This window comes from Homo sapiens, chromosome 2 (assembly GCF_000001405.40).
Source record: "Homo sapiens chromosome 2, GRCh38.p14 Primary Assembly".
Lineage (NCBI taxonomy): Eukaryota > Metazoa > Chordata > Mammalia > Primates > Hominidae > Homo > Homo sapiens.
This window is the reverse complement of record NC_000002.12, coordinates 94723507-94741460: the sequence shown is the minus strand read 5'-3', so window position 1 is coordinate 94741460 and position 17954 is coordinate 94723507. Positions and strand designations below refer to the sequence as shown.

Below are 17954 nucleotides of genomic sequence, written 5' to 3'. Positions count from 1 at the left end.
GTATCCAGGCTTCAGACATATTTTTGAAAACTTATTTCTATATGGGTCAAAATTTAAATCAGTTGTAATATGTGATCCACTCAAATATATTCTCCAGGATGCACTATTAAAATGAAATACCGAAGTGGTTCCCCAAGACACCAATTTAAAGTGTATATGTGCAGTGCAGGGTTACTGGACCAAGGCACAGTGTAAACAGCAAAATTTTATTTTTTGTTTTCTTTTTCCTAAGATGTTTCTTATTCCCCGTTATATGAAAATGTATATTACAGGCAAAGAAAAATTAACACGAATAGAAGTAAATATAAAGTATATTCACATTAATATCAGCTTTGCTTTATCTATTAAAGGATGTAACACACTTGTGGTTTTCAGGACCTTGTAACTCCTGGTTCATTGGAAAGCATAGAAATTCTTCAGAGCCTCAAGAGTTGTGTTTAACGCATTATTTAAATAGTGTCCAACCAGTAGTTAGATAGCTTAGCACTCAAATAGCCTTTGAAATCTCTGTAGACTCACCTCAATTGAGGAGTCCTGATAATTTACAGAAGTGTGTAGTGCACTGATGGATAATGTCTTTGCCTGTGGAGTGTTTCATGTGTTGGTCCACTGGAGTGTGTGTGTGTGTGTGTGTGTGTCTGTGTGTAGGTGGGTGAGTATGGGTGGGTGTGGATTGTGTGTGTGTGTATGTGTATGAGTTTACATTGTGGTATGTGTCTGTTGGGGTGCTGCCATTTGGGATTTGGAAGAGTGAGGACCATAAACTTGTCAACATTCCTACATGCCTGCTTCATAACAAGTGTACTGAACGTGGCCAAAAGTAACTAAACCAAGTAAACAAATTAGACATTAATTAAATTTAATGCTGGGCAGGAAAGAAGTATTCAAGACCAGGTAAAATGAAGAAATATAACCAAATGAATGAAATGTTTAGATTGATTCGTAGAATGAGACGAATATTTTTTAAAATTTGTAGTTTCTAATGAATAACAGCATATAAAATAAGAATGATATGGCTCTCAATTGACTAAAAACTGTACTTAAGTTTTGAGCTAGTGAAACAACCATATATGATCTTCTATTTCCACTTTTCTGTCTCAAGAATGACTTGTGAAAATGTTTTTTTTGAAATTTTACATTCTTATCTTGAAAGAGCTTCACAAAATTTACATGAGAATCTGGATGCTCATAAGAGGTCTGATTTTTTAATGGCATGTTTGTATTTCTGTTATGAACATCAATGTCAAGCATTCGTTTCCTGAGCTGTTCTCTACAACACAATTTAACTTGTAATGGACACTCAATAAATCGTTGGTTGGATATGCAAATCAACACCTTAGTTCCATCAATTTTCATTTCATATAAAAATGCCTGATCTTCTATACTCATCAATGAAACAGAGAGAGATGAAGGAGGGAGAGCAGTTGAGACTGAGAGGATGACAAGCAGACCTCATTCTGCAGTGGATTTCCTACACTCTCCACTTCTGAATGCTTGGAAACACTTGCCATGCTCAAAAAATATTGGTATTTCCTAGGCAGCAAATGGGAGTTAAAGAAAGTCCATATTTCTATATTACAATAACTTACACTATAATACACAGATGGCATACATTTCTAAGCTATTTCAATTCACAGAAAATGTAGATAAATTTAGGTGAGCAAGATGTAAGAGAAGGGTTAGTAATCAAGCTGAGTGTGATTGTGAGATTAAATCTAATATTATCTTATACAATTATTGTATAATTGTATCAGTTGACATATCTGTTGAAACAGAAGGTGGGAGAGTTTTGCATGCGCTTCTGAAATGTAATGGATGATGTTAGGAGAGAGGCGGGTCAACGTGGCTAGGCCAGAAGTGTTTACTAATTGAGGCTTAGGAAAGTTAAGCTCCTAATCAGAGACCGGGAGATAGAGGCGCTAAAGTGTATAACATTTATATTTAATATATATTTAATAATATATAATAAAGTCTTAAAATGCCAGTTTTAAGTCTTTTCATTTTCTTCTTAAAAACAGAGGTTTTATTGCGTTTGGTCCACAGTCGGTATTTCACATTATCTCATAGTGCAGGGCTCCTGGGGGGAGGGCTCTGTGCAGTACTTGGCGTGGCCTGGGGCCGGGGGAGATAGAGCAGTAGACCTGGTCAGGCCCGGAAGGGGAGAAGGAGGGCCGGGGCTCCTTAAGACCTACTGAGGGCCTGGGCGCGGTGGCTCACGCCTGTCATCCCAACACTTTGGGAGGACGAAACAGGCGGATCACATGAGGGAAAGAGTTCCCGACCAGCCTGGCCAACATAGTGAAATCCCATCTCTACTAAAAATACAAAAAATTAGGCAGGCGTGGTGGTGGGTGCCTGTAGTCCCAGCTACTCTGGAGGCTGAGGCAGGAGAATCGCTTAAGCTGGGAGGCCGAGGTGCAGTGAGGCGAGATTACTCCAGTGCGCTTCAGCCTGGGCGACAGAGTGAGACTACATCTCAAAAAAAACAAAAATAAAAACAAACAAAAAACCCTACTGAGGGCCACGGAGGTGGGGGAGCTAGGATGGAGAGGGGTCAGGCTTAATCCTGGCAACTCAGAATTCCACTAACTTGTACGGGTCTCAGTTTCCTCACCGGGCCCCAGCATAGGTCTGAGGGTCTGAGGTCTGTTGGTCTGAGGGTCCTAGGGAAATCCAGCCACTCAGGAGCCTGAGATATTTTAGCATCGTGGCTGGGCCCCCTCTCCCAGGGAACTCATTTCCCAGCACCCTCTCCACTGTCTCCGCCCCATTCCTCGGAGAAGAAAAAAATTTTCTTTCTTTTGTTAATACTTCCTGAAACTTTTGCAGGTACAGAAACCACAAACTGATCGGCTGACAAAAAGGGGAAGAGGAGAGGCAACCAGAAATCTTCAGGGACTGGTTCCCTCCATGCCCAGGTCTCTTCTCCCCAGCACAGCTCAGCCCACAGCCTGGAAGTGCCAGCGGGGACCTTCACCCTACACGCATCAGGATACGGCCTTGATCCCTTCCCCCACAGCCCGGTGGCTCAGTCCTGCGAAGGAACCAAAGCAAGGGGAGGTGGGGGAAAAAACCCTGCTGCCTGATCCCACGCTGCCGCTCACAGACCCTCGGTTGACTGGCAGCACTGAACAGGTTAAAAAAAAAAAAGATGAAAACACAGAAAAACCCAACACCCAGACGGGGAGACCATGTGTGGAGAGAGCGTGCTGGGAGCCTCAGTAGCTGGTCTCCTCCTGGTACTAAGGGGCCTCCCCTGGCCCTGGGCAGTTGCCGGCGGAGGGAGCCCCGTGGGCCACTGGGCCACCCGGCTGGTACTTGGGTTCATATATTTGCCGGCCTAGGCCAAAGACCTGTCTGCTGTGATTGGCGACCTGCGTGTAGCCCATCTTCAGGGACATGGAGGAGTTCTCACACTTGTCGATTCCCAACTTGGTGTCATAGATGTGCCACTGGTTCCCGGGAGCCGTCATGCCCACCTGGCTGGCGCACTTGTTTGTACCCATCCGGAGGCTGATGGTCGAGTTGTCCATGGGGGGCAGGATGCGGTTCTTGGGGTCGTAGAGATGCCTCCTCGTGACGTATGCGGTCATGCCTGACTGGCTGGCACATTTGTTGGTAATCTGCAGCCGGATGACGCACAGCCTGGCCTTCATGGTGGTGTCGTTGAAGTTCTGCTTCTCTGAGTACTTGTCACGGATGTCCACCCCGCTCTGCAGCCCCTTAGTCTTGGCCTTCCCTGCCAGGGCGAGAAGAGACACCCGCACCTGCATATTGTTCCCACTCTCAAACAGGTCGTTGGCCTCAAATAGGTCCACGGGATCATGCCGTAGCTGACCATTGCCTTGAGGATGTTGGAGAGGTTTTCTAGCTGGTGCCAGTTCTACACGGAAGCCGTTGATCTTGGGGACTGAGCCCGGCTGCAGTTTGTTCACGAGTGTGCATAAAATAATCCCGTCCTTCAGGCCCTTCTGGAAGTCGGGGCGGATGGAGAGGCCAGTGAATCCCTTGATCCAGCTGCGGAGCTCTGCCTCCTTCTGGGAGTCATATTTGAACAGAAGCCTGTTCTGGACGTCCGCCAAGAGCCTGTAGGAGGGGCCCTTGTTGAACGCGTGGAGCTTACGGCTGGAGGGCGCCACCGCGGGGCGGATCCCACAGGACCGGAAGCTAAGTCTTTTTTCTAGTTCGCAATATTTTGTTTTCACCACACCATTGTTTTACTACATATCTTTTGTGTATTTAAAAAATGTGTAAAAATGTGTGGAAAATGTTAGACCATCTCCCTTTTTTCCACCTTCCCTTTTACCTTTTACTGCCATTTACATCCACACATCCACACACACATACATCCACACACACACATACTGACCAAAATTAGTTTTGATGTACGAATGGGTTATTTGAAGCAAAAAGTCAATCTATATTAGTAAAAGTGTCATGCCAGTACGAATTATATTTATAATCCTTTTAAGAAGAAAGAACTTCCGGCCGGGCGCTGTGGCTCACGCCTGTAATCCCAGCACTTTGGGAGGCCGAGGCGGGCTGATCATGAGGTCAGGAATTCAAGACCAGTCTGGCCAAGATGGTGAAACTTCGTCTCTACTAAAAACACAAAAAAATAAGCTGGGTGTGGTGGCGGGCGCCTGTAATCCCAGCTACTCGGGAGGCTGAAGCAGAGAATTCCTTAAACCCGGGAGGCAGAGGTTGCAGTGAGCCAAGATCGGGCCACTGCACTCTAGCCTGGGCGACAGAGCAAGACTCCGTCTCAAACACACACAAAAAAAAAAAAAAAAAAGAAAAAGAAAGAACTTCCTTAATTTTTTGAAGAGACTATTCTGTATCCATTTTATAATTTTGTGGCCACTGAAAAATATATGTTAAATCACAGACACAGTGAATATAGTAAGTGGTAGTTTAAAATGTTAAAATGTTAAATCACGCCTGTACTCCCAGCACTTTGGGAGGCTGAGGGGGGAGGATCGCCTGAAGTTGAGTTCGAGACCAGCCTGGCCAACATGGTGAAACCCCTTCTCTACTAAAAATACAAAAATTAGCCAGGTATGGTGGCACAAATCTGTAATCCCAGCTACTCGGGAGGCTGAGGCAGGAGAATGGCTTGAACCCTGGAGGCAGATGTTGCAGTGAGCTGAGATCAAGCCACTGCACTCCAGCCTGGACAACACAGTGAGACTCTGTCTCAAAAATAAAATTAAGTGTTGAATTTTTACAAGTCGTTGTTCCTATTCTAATTTTTGAATGCAACCACAGCCTCTAACAAAACAGCCTCGTTAAACTAATTGGCTGATAATGAATTCTTAAGTTAAAGGGGAATTCCACAGAAATATATATTGCTCTTTTATGTTTAAGAAAAGTAAGTGCCTGAAAAACAGATGTGTTCTGTAAAACTGAATTACTTTCTATCCAGTTCCACTGGTTCGCAGTGTTTTATCTTTATATTAAAACATATATAAATGATTGATGGATGAATTTTTTTCTTTTAGACACTGCTGCTGAATCCATGGAGAGAAAAAGGATAAATTTCCAGAACTATAGTCCCTGTGCTCCAGTTCGCCAGGCGGGCGCGGCGGAGACGGAGACCGAGGAACGCGGCTGGGGCCATGCGGCGCTACCGCGCGTGGTGGCGCTGTGTCTGGCCTGAGGCTTCTGCTCGCTCCTTTACGCCTTCAGCCAGCTCCCCATGTCCCCGGAGGAAGGCGCGCGCGGTGGTGGCGGGAAGCCTCAGGCCGCAGTGGCTTCCTGGCTGGCGGGAGGCGGATGCAGTGCGGTGAGAGGCGCGGGCAGCGCTGGTCCCGCTGCGCATCCCGGCAGGTGGGACAGGTGTAGTCTGAAAATACAGCCTGTTGAGAAAATGCATCTAGGTGAAAGATTGGAAGAAACTATGACGATGTTGAAGTCAGCTATTATTTTCAGGATCAAACCTCTTCAATTCCAGATTTTTGCTGAAGATCAACTACATCATAGCTTTAAAGGAAGGCTTGACAGGGGTCATTTCTACAAATATTTAATTATACAATATACTCCATAACCTTTCCAAGTGAGAATGCAGTAGAGTGGAAAAACTCTTTAAACCATGTGGTTTGCAGAGATTGTCCTTGCCGTTATTCCTGAAAGAAGTTGACTCTCACACTGATAGCCTTTTTAAAAGACCAGCTGATAATATTTGGTCTTTACTAAAGAAATTTAATTCCACACAAATTCTGCAATGGCCCCAGAACACAAGGAACGTCAAATAGGATGGTATAGTCGCTTTGCTAGGCATCCATACTGTGGAAAAGCTGGAGTAAACTCTGGAGTTATGTTGACAAACATGACTTGAATGAGAAGGAAGTATTTCAAGAATAATATGACAACTGTGTGACTACAATGAGGAGATATACTTATGACATGGCTTAAAATGTACAAGTTAAACATTACATGGGCGATCAAGATCTGTTGGATATCATGTTTTTTCATAATCCAGAAAGGCTTTTTGTCTTTCCGTGTCAATGGAAGTGTCATCCAGATCATTGTCTATATGGAAGCAGTTGCCAAGAAGCAGAAGAAGGAATCTTTATTTTTCACGGGAACAGAGGTGTTTACTATGATGATAAGCAACCAGCATTTAGAGCTGTTTATGAAGCACTGAGAAATTGTTCTTTTAGGATGACAATGTTCATTCATGAATAAAACCTTTAGAATTGGAACTACAAAAAACAGTGCATACATACCGTGGAAAATTTTACTAAATATTTATCAAACAATTAGCAAAAACATAAGAGATCGCTATGTCAGATCACCAAAGGAAAGGTGATTCTTGTTGCCTGCTACATCAAATGGATGAAAAGAACAAAGCGTCGGAGGATAAGTATGAAGGAACTGTCTTGGGTGAAGCATTAAGGCAGGAATTATTCATCTACAGAATATTTTTTTTTTTCCTAAAGAGGTTAAATGAGCAGTATTTTCAGGTAATGAAGAATAAGTTAAAATCTTGGGCTTCAACAAAGAAAAATTTTTGGCCTCTGATGTTGTGTAATGTTACTTACTATCATTCCAGTATTGATGAAAATATTATTGAATGGTTTTAGCCTGCAAACTTCTGTTGACTCATACTCTCAAGAGTGGTGGGGCTGTGAAAATGAAGAAAACGTACTTCAAACACAGTGCAAACACTCAGACGGTGAGTAGAGCGATAATTTTATGTCAGCACTAACCTCACTTTAAATGTGTGAGAGAAAATTTTGTCTACAGGAGTAGAAACAGTTCTGTTTCTAAAGAAATGTGATGTAACCAATGTAACGATGGATGATCTATATCTGCCTTTATACATTTCATCTCTGTTTTAAAATATTTTTTATGATAATCATATTAAAATTATTTTTAGATTATAAGGAAGCTGCATGTTAAAAATTGAGCTGTATAAGAAAGAGGAAATATAGTGAAAACTTTGGGGTTTTAATCTGTGCGTGTGAGAGAGAGTGAGAAATATAGTGTTTTCATTGTGTATGCATTAAACTGTCTTGCTAAAACTCAGACCTAAAATTGTTAAGTAGATATCTGGGGAACTTTTTTTATCACTTTAAATGAAAAATTTCAGCTTTACTGGGCATTCTGGAAGCAAAATATGTTATGCTGATGATAAAGTGAGAACCTTAAGAGTACACTCATTTGATGGTGGAAAATGTGATGGACCAAAATGCAGAAGCTATACACGTCCTGTGAGTAGTAATTTTAGTTACAATGCAGTAGGAAAATGTGGTGCATTTAAACTTTTCTTCTACCCCATAATGGCTTTGCAAGATACTTGTAAAGAAGCAAATGTCTAGAGCCTTACTTTAAGAAAGTTAAACAACTTTGGTGAATGATTTGGATTAAGATTGTTACATCCAGCTATAGAAATGTGGTTTTAATTGGGTTGATGTGAGTGAGTACCTTCCTTTTTTGAATACCACTTAAAACAGTTAACTTTTTAAGTCTTGAAGATGAGAAAAATATTACTTATCTAATATAACTATTTTAATAGTTATCTAATTTATAGTTATCTACTATAACTATACATTCTGAATACTTAGCATGTACTGTGCTGGGGCACATATCTTGTTTTCCCAGCTGCTAAACGATTATCTTCCTTTTCTCCCTGGTATTTTAATGCTCAAGTAGAAAATGGAAAATCATGAAGGAAAAATATCACTTGTGAAAATCGTGGCAGTTAGCTTTATGAAGACATAGTGGCCTCTGTGGGGACATGGGATATGCAGAAAGAGATGGCTAGTACAGTTGTTCTGTCTTCTGCAGTTCAGTCAGGGACACATTGAGAGAGGAAAGTTTAAGCAGGTACATTAGAAATTGATAACCAGCCCAGCATTCTTAGAACAGATGGGTTTAGAGAACACGAGTTGTAGTTCCTTGGCAGAATGCCATGGTGGATATGAGAAACTGTGAACTGTGTTGAAATTGAGCTTGAGCAGAAAATGAGAATACTAAAAATTTGAAGTTCAGAGGGTATGCATTAGATTATTTCTAATGGTCCCCATATATGATCATTGCCTGCCTGACTATATAAGACTCCTGTTGGGAGCTTGAGAATAGATTGCTGAGCTTAGCCCTTTGGAGACTCTGGTATGCTGTGTCTGGGATGGAGTCTGCAAAAAAAAAAAAATTTAAAGAAGAGACTTAAAAATTATACAAAACTAGAATAGTGCTTTGGTACTATCAGATTACTTGGTGGGCTATTCCCACTTCGATTCTTCATATAGAGGATGTGAACAGAGAAACATGCAGATAAATCAGTCAATGCCAACTGCTGGGGGAAACGTCCATAGTCTGCAGGTTCCCACAGAAAGGATAGCACTTCCATCCTCTCCCATGAGGGAAAAATAAAGGAGAAAAGCTTTCGGCCTCTCACCATAAGTTCATTCAGTCCTCCCCTTGGGAAGAGAAATGACTTAACTGAGGAATGTGCTTGAAAGTAGCTGTACTGGTGAAACTCAGCCTCTGTGGGTTTCTCTCTCTTTCAGAGTCAGCTCTCTTCAGGATGTGCATTTATTTCTCCCTTTGGAGGAGGCCTCAGTCCAGCTCAGCCAAGGACTGAAAGGCACATCTGGCTAATTCAAGACTGGGGTATTGGGAGGTCCCCTTGGCCCCAGATCTATGATATGTTCTCTAGTCCTGAGACCTGCTGACTCTCGTGTCTCATTTCTCAGTTGGGTCATATCTTGGGGTTATTTGTGTTCCCAGCTCTAACAGGAAGGTTCCTAAGCACTCATTTCTTCTTAACCAATTTCTGAAGGTAAAATGTTGGTGAAGAGTGCTCTTTTCTTCCTGCTACCATTAATTGGTGTTTATTTTGTGTCAGGCACTGTTGAGTATTTTACATTTCTTATCTAGTTTGATCTTTACAGCAACTTTATATGACAGACATTGTTCCCCCATTTTTCAGGCTAGAAATCTGAGGCCCAGTGTCCCACAATGGCTGTGTGGTGACACTAGGCTTTGAGCACAGAAGGTTGACTTCCAAAGCCTATGTTCCTAACCATTATGCCACTCTGTGTTGTGACAGCGCCAAACATACTTTCATTCATATATATCTTTTAACTGATCATGTTCTTGTGTGATTTCTTTCAGAAAGGCTTTTACATCAAATATTGATAATAATAATAATGAACACATGTTGAGCACTTACCATGTCTCAAGCACTGCTCTAGAACTTCCCATGAAAGAACCCCTCTAATCTTCAGAACAACCCTGTGAGGTAGGTGCTACTATTACTCTGTTTTCACAAGTAAAGAAACTAAGCACAGCAGATCCACAGTCATTCTGTAGGATGCTGTGTAGAATGGCTCCTGGGACACTGGGAAAGCTCTTCTGCACCTCAGTATCTTCTTTACTGGTTCATTAATGTCTGATATTTCTGCATGAGAAAGCACAACATAGACAGAAAGCTTAATATGTATATACACACACTGAAAGATAAGGCATTGACATAACATCTCATTATAGGTATTAGAAATGCAGTCTCAAGAGCAGGTTCTCGTGGGGTGACAGGCAGGGTATTCTAGGGGAAGGAATATCCCAAGAAAGGTGGCATTACAAAGGAAGAGGAGAAAGAAAGGTGTAAATGAGGAGACACTGATTTTCTTCCATTGCAAAGTTTTCCAAGGCTGGCCCCTTTTCTATTACATTCTTACCCAGTAACTCGTACTTTCCCTAGAGCTCTTGCGAGAAAGAACTATTGAGAAAGTAGCCCATCTGAAAGTATATTTCTTGCTGTTTATCTGCTTCCAGAACTGGCTGAAGTTTACTTTTTGGTTCTCCAGAGACCTAGCTTCTTCCAATGTGGTCTATTTAATCTCCTGTCATGTGGGAAATTATATTCAAAATCTCCATGATCCTCTGTCCATAGTAAGTTATGCATGTAGTGAGAAGTACATGCCACAAGGTCTTGAGATTATATCTGCAATGTGTTGCTGCTGGCTGTTGATCAAGATAGGCTGGGAGAAAAACATTATTTTCAGGTGTGAAAATCTGTCACCTTTATCAAATAACTCTTCTTGCATATTTCCCAAGACGTTGTAGCCTATTTAAACTCGGGAGGTTAATTTTGTAGCATTCATTATGACCGAAAATGAGTTCACACAATCATGATGCTCTCTTTATTAGGTGTTACTGTTAAACAATATTAAAATACACACAATGTGGCTGGTCTTTTGTAAGCTACATGGCATGTTTACTTCTTTGTCAGGTTTCTTAATTGCATTTCTTCATCTTTCCGAATACCAGTGTCACTGTCACCCACAATATTTGCTGTTTTGAGCACATGGTTTACATTTTATTTTGCCCAATAATAGAATATGATGGGGACATCTTATCTGAGTGTTTCATAGTATGCTGTAGTTTGAATTCTTGGCTGTTGGTTTCCCAGAGTCCCAGCTCCTGCCACTGCATTCTGCCTTTATAAATGGAGAATAATGGCTCTAAAAAAAATTCACCTAAGAATCTCATGATAGTGGAGAAGGAGGACCATGGAAATGCTAAAGCCTCCCACTCGGCTTCTGTAAATCATGCAGAGGATCAGGAAAATGATTGAAAGTAACGTATCCCAAACAAAGAAGTCAGCTGTACAATTCAAGACCTGTGTCTGGCTGTAAAAAAAACAAAAAACAAACAAAAAAATGGAAAGAATAACTTTGCTACTCATCTTGTTCAAAAAACTGGAGCAGATTGAGTATCTAGACTCAGTTTCAGAAGAAATGTTAAATACTGATAGGGGCATATTCAAGATCTTTAGGATTTTTTGGGGGGAGGAGAGGGGAACATAAAAAAGCAATAATAAAGATAAATCTGAATGCAGGAAAAATACACATAATCCATGAATCTAACACCTGTTTTCGCATGTTTATCATCTTTGTCCCTATGTAGATCTATGTTTTCTTTCATAGTTGCAGTCATAGAATATACTCTATTCTCTAAGCTTTTATCCTTCAACATTATAGGAGAATGTTGTTCCATGTTACCACATAGCCAACTGTTTCAAAACTTGTCTAGTAAATTCTGTGCTGTTGTTTTCACAGGGAGAAACATGCACATGTATATTACTTGGTTTTTTTTTTTCTGTTGAATCATACTCCTGGAATAAATTTTTTTCAGTGAGGTTTTTGGTTCCAAAAAGTATAAACATTTTGGTGATCTTTAGTAAGTTGTATTGCTTTCCAAAGAAGTGATAGGAATTATACTTGCCACCCCAACAGTGAAAGAATTGTAATTTAATTTCAATGTAACAGAGGATGCTACTCTTGCTATTATATTTTCTATTATAATGAAAACCTTTAAAGATTTAAACCAAGCTGGATTGTCTTTCACGAGCTGCTGTTAAATGAACACCTTGATATCTTCGTTCTTGGAGAGAAATGAGCCAAGGAGGAAGACCATCTAAAAAAAACCACTAGACAATTTGTGCTCATTGGAGTGGTCTCTGCTGGGCAAAAGGTCTTTAGAATGACTCATGGATTTTCTGGCAAGTGGCAAACCACACAAGTGCTATGTCAGGCCAGGAAGACAGGTGCAGCCCTGTCAGTGTCAAAGAAGAACACTGGTAGCAGAAGAGCTAAGAGTGAATGAAAATTGAATTATCTTTATTTCTAGGACTTGTCTATTGAGAAACAACAGTGCTGGCAACCATTTACTACCAACAAGAGGCAGTTCCAAGAGAAGAATATAAAATATGCTCTGCTCAATCCCACAAAACTCAGAGTGTCTCACAATGGCCAATTTCTTATTTTTACCCTGTCCAGAGACAAGGAAGGATGCATCAGGGAGCTGCTGGCCTCTGCGATGAATAACTTGAGTCAGCCTGCAACATGTGAAAGAATTCAGCTGATCAGGATTTATAACACTAGCTGGATTTTTTGCTTTCTCTGGGGTTCATGAAGCATGGTGTTGTGAGATACCATAGGAGTCCCAGAGTAAAGTTACATACCTACTTCTCTTCCTTATTTTTATTTTTTTGGCATGTTCATATTATTTTATTACCAACATCGTTGGCATCCCTGAGTATGAGAGTTCAGAAGAAACTTAGAGGCTATTGTCTGATTCAATCCTTGCAGCTTACAAAAAGAAATGCGGGGAGCAGTCACTGCGTGACTAGCCTGAGGTCACTCAGGAAGTTAGAGGCAGAACTGCAGCCAGGGTCACCTCTCTTTACTGCTACTAGTGTGCTCTTTCTACTGCACCCTGATCACAAAACATCTCCCAACCCAGGAACAAGGTCTACCGCATAGGTGAGCACAGCAGCATGATCACTCTCTCAGTCATCTGTACTCCTCCTTTGCTTTGACCAAAGACACAGGAAGGGACATTTTGCCCCACATAAAACACCTCTCAAAGGCTTGGCAACAACAACAGATAATAGAGAGCATTGACCTAAGACCAACATTTCAACCATGGTGTCAAAACAATATTTTATTTCAGCAAAGAAAAACTATGTCACAAGTGGATTATTATTACTAATAATCAGACTAGTGGTACTTGCGAATGACTTGGTTTCATACTCACACTTGGACAACTATGCACACTGAGTATAACTGACCTTATGAGAACATCATTCTCACTAAGATTATGATGTGCTTTCTCACGTGGGAACTGTACATAATATTGCATGTACCCTTGGGAGGATGTCCTGCCTGTGATGTTGTCTTTCAGGGGAAGAAGAATGGTTGAGAACTGAGGGTATATTAAACATTTACTTTTCCAGATTTTTCAAGATTTCTGTTAAGCGAGATCAGAAGAAAGCCATCTATTTGGATTGCATCACTCTAACCTGGTAAGTCGAATTGTCTACACAGAATTATAATTTCACGATATGTCCAGATTACTTACCGAGAGCCAATTTGAGACACCAACAGGACTAGTAAAACATCTTTGCCCTGTGGGTAGCGTTGCTATCAAAGACCTTATACATTATGTCATTCAAGAACCTTTATATTAAGATCCTTATGGAAAATCCTTCCCGAAGTTTAACCCTATGATAAAGGGTTTTTTTCTCCTGGTAACATAGTGGGCAATTGGGAACTGTTTAACCCAATGCATTGATTTCATTGATTGTTTTGGTTGCCGAGAAGTATGGATGCTCAGAACAGGTTTTCTTGTTTTCAACTGCTAATTCCTTTATTTAAATTGTAATAAATGTTTCCCTTTACTTCTTTCCTTTTTCTTTTTAAGAAATTTAATGTATTTCCTAATATATTATAAATTATTAATAGATCAATTAGCATAGAATAATCTGGAATAATGCTTAGAGATCTCCCATTGAAAAAGACCCCAGTACCATAGGGTTCACAGCTGAGTGTTAACTGAACTTGAACAAATTCTGATTTTATTTAAAATGATCAAAGCCTAGTAAAAAAATTCCTGCAGATCATATGGGGCACATAATAACTAAAAAAAAAAAGAAAAAAGAGGGGTGGCTTTCTTCAATTAATTTTATAGTGTAATATCAAAGCTTAATAGTTAATATATTTCATCTAATGTAGAATGTCAATGTTTAGAAATCAGACATTATTTCATGTACCATTAGAGATATACTGCCAATTAAACTGTGACTTCCTTACGAAAAGCAAAAAAAGGAATTTTAAAGATATTAAAACATGTAAAGAAGAATATAAGCACTATACTCCCAATCCCTTCAATTAACATGTTAATATTTTATTGCATTGGTTTTCAGTAATTACTTTTAATAAAATAAAGCATTATTAGCTAATGTTCCACCCCTACCACTCCAATCTCATTCTCCTTCTAGGTGCCCCAGGCCCAATTGCTAAAATAAATTTGTTGTACACTTTAAAGTCAATTTTCTATACGTTTGCACATAAATTTGTGTATTCGTAGAAAGTATTTTTGTGCTGAGAAGGTACAATAAGCCCTTCAAAGTTGTTGATGTTCAGATTCCAGTTGGCAAAAGTCTTACACATGTGACATTAAATATTTTCAGTATTAAACATGCACATTCCACAAGTTCAGCAGTTCTGTATTATATATCCAGAGTCTGCCCTGAGGGATGCTTACAACCTTAGTATAAACTCTCACTCACCCCTTTTAGAGAATAAAACTTACACCTATGTAATGACCAGTCCAGGTACAAGGGTGTCCTCTAAGAACATTCATTCATGTACTCAACAAATCTTTATTGAGCACCTGCACATTTCATGCCAGGGAGGTGACCTGTGTTCTCCCTACACAACAGGAGAAAGAGTGGTGGCATCGGCAGGAAAGTGCAGTGGAAAGGAGGAGCTGACTTTGGCAGGAAAAAGAACGATATTACTTTGAATTTATCAACTCTGACGTAACATCCTGATAAAAAGTGCCATATCCAAATCACGTTGAAGATTCTCAAAGGACAGTACCAAAGTTGAATAAAAACACAGTGCCTCAAATGGGAAGTGGTATAGAAAGGCCTGAGGCTGGGGTATGGAGGCACACGGGGTGCAGAGAACGAGGGAAGAGAAGAGTGAAAAACTGCTCGGGGTGGGGTGGCATTGATGGCGAGAGATGGGTGTAACATGCATTTATGAGGACAGACATGATCAGGTTTAAAGAAAAAGAATTTTTTCTTTTTCCAGCAGTCCCACTACGTGGCATTTATCTACAGGAAAGGAAATCAGCATATTTAGGAGATACCTGCACCCTCATGTTTATAGCAGCCACTATTCACAGTAGCCAAGTTTAGAATCAACCTAAATGTCCAAAAACATAATAGATTAAAAATGTAGTATCTATTCACAGTGGAGTACTATTTAGCCGTAAAAATAATGAAATCCTGTCCTTGGCTGCAACATGGATCAGGCTGGAAGACTATATTAAGTGAAATAACCTAGGCACAGAATTATAAATCTTGCATGTTCTCACTCATATGTGGGAGCTAAAAAAAAACGAACTGAGCTCATGGAAGTGGAGAGTAGAATTCTGGTTATTATAGGCTGGGGAGAGCAACAGGGAGGAGAGGACAGGGAGAGGTTGGTTAACAAATACAAACTTACAGCTAGATAGGAGGAATGAGTACATCTATGACACCAAGCTGGGAATCGACAAGTGTGACAACTCCTCCATGTCCCTGAAGATGGGATACAGTCAGGGCGCTCATCAGAGCAGCCAGGCCTTCGGCCTGGGCCCACAGATATACGACCCCAAGTACTACTGGGGAGGCCCAGTGGCCCATGGCGCTCCCTCGGGCTCCGGTGACTTCCCGGGGCCAGGGGAGGCCCCTGAATATCTCCCTTACCACCAGGAGGAGACCGGCTACTGAGGCTCCCAGCACGCTCTCTCCACACATGGTCTCCCCTTGTGGGTGTTTGGGTTTTTCTGTGTTTTCATCTTTTTTTTTTTAAGCTGTTCAGTGCTGCCAGTCAACTGAGGGTCTGAGTGGCAGCGTGGGATCAGGCAGCAGGGTTTTTTCCCCACCTCCCCTTGCTTTGCTTCCTTCTCAGGACTGAGCCACCGGGCTGTGGCGGAAGGGATCAAGGCCGTATCCTGATGCGTGTAGGGTGAAGGTCCCCGCTGGCATGTCCAGGCTGTGGGCTGAGCTGTGCTGGAGAGAAGAGACCTGGATATGGAGGGAACGGGTCCCTGAAGGTTTCTGGTTGCCTCTCCTCTTCCCCCTTTTCTCAGCCTATCAGTAAGTGGTTTCTGTACCTGCAAAAGTTTCAGGAAGTATTAACAAAATAAAAAAAAAATTTTTTTCCCCGAGGAATGGGGCGGGGACAGTGGAGAGGGTGCTAGGAAATGAGTCCCCTGGGAGAGGGGGCCCAGCCACGATGCTAAAATATCTCAGGCTCCTGAGTGGCTGGATTTCCCTAGGACCCTCAGACCAACAGACCTCAGACCTACGCTGGGGCCCCGTGAGGAAACTGAGGCCCGTACAAGGTAGTGGAATTTTGAGTTGTCAGGGTTAAGCCTGAGCCATCTCCATCCTAGCTCCCCCACCTCCGTGGCCCTCAGTAGGGTTTTTTGTTTGTTTTTGTTTTTTTGAGATGGAGTCTCACTCTGTCGCCCAGGCTGAAGCGCACTGGAGTAATCTTGCCTCACTGCACCTCGGCCTACCGGGCTCAAGCGATTCTCCTGCTTCAGCCTCCAGAATAGCTGGGACTACAGGCGCCCACCACCACGCCTGGCTAATTTTTTGTATTTTTAGTAGAGACGGGATTTCACCATGTTGGCCAGGCTGGTTTGGAACTCTTGCGCTCATGTGATCCGCCTGTTTCGTCCTCCCAAAGTGTTGGGATGACAGGCGTGAGCCACCGCGCCCAGCCCTTCAGTAGGTCTTAAGGAGTCCCGGCCCTCCTTCTCCCCTTCCGGGCCTGACCAGGTCTACTGCTCTATCTCCCCCGGCCCCAGGCCACGCCAAGTACTGCGCAGAGCCCTCCCCCCAGGGGCCCTACGCTATGAGATAATGTGAAATACCGACTGTGGACCAAACGCAATAAAACCTCTGTTTTTAAGAAGAAAGTGAAAAGACTTAAAATTGGCATTTTAATACTTTACTATATATTATTAAATATATATTAAATATAAATGTTATACAATTGAGCGCCTCTATCTCCCAGTCTCTGGTTAGGAACTTAACTTTCCTAAGCCTCAATTAGTAAACACTTCTGGCCTAGCCATGTTGACCCGCCTCTCTCCTAACATCATCCAGTATATTTCGGAAGCGCATGCAAAACTCTCCCACCTTTTGTTTCAACAGATATGTCAACTGATACAATTATACAATAATTGTATAATATTAGATTTAATCTCACAATCACACTCAGCTTGATTACTAACGCTTCTCCTACACCTTGCTCACCTATATTTATGTACATTTTCTATGAATTGAAATAGCTTAGTAATGTATGTTGTCTGTGTATTATAGTGTAAGTTATTGTAATATAGAAATATGGACTTTCTTTAACTCCCATTTGCTGCCTAGGAAATACCAATATTTTTTGAGCATGGCAAGTGTTTCCAAGCATTCAGAAGTGGAGAGTGTAGGAAATCCACTGCAGAATGAGGTCTGCTTGTCATCCTCTCAGTCTCAACTGCTCTCCCTCCTTCATCTCTCTCTGTTTCATTGATGAGTATAGAAGATCAGGCATTTTTATATGAAATGAAAATTGATGGAACTAAGGTGTTGATTTGCATATCCAACCAACGATTTATTGAGTGTCCATTACAAGTTAAATTGTGTTGTAGAGAACAGCTCAGGAAACGAATGCTTGACATTGATGTTCATAACAGAAATACAAACATGCCATTAAAAAATCAGACCTCTTATGAGCATCCAGATTCTCATGTAAATTTTGTGAAGCTCTTTCAAGATAAGAATGTAAAATTTCAAAAAAAACATTTTCACAAGTCATTCTTGAGACAGAAAAGTGGAAATAGAAGATCATATATGGTTGTTTCACTAGCTCAAATCTTAAGTAGTT

The 17954-nt window shown here is 41.4% G+C and overlaps 3 pseudogenes; 2 read left to right on the top strand and 1 right to left on the bottom strand.

The window, feature by feature from the left end:
* On the bottom strand, nucleotides 3024–4165 carry CNN2P8 (calponin 2 pseudogene 8; annotated as a pseudogene).
* GXYLT1P7 (GXYLT1 pseudogene 7) lies at nucleotides 5671–6785 on the top strand (annotated as a pseudogene).
* Nucleotides 15549–15985, top strand: CNN2P11 (calponin 2 pseudogene 11; annotated as a pseudogene).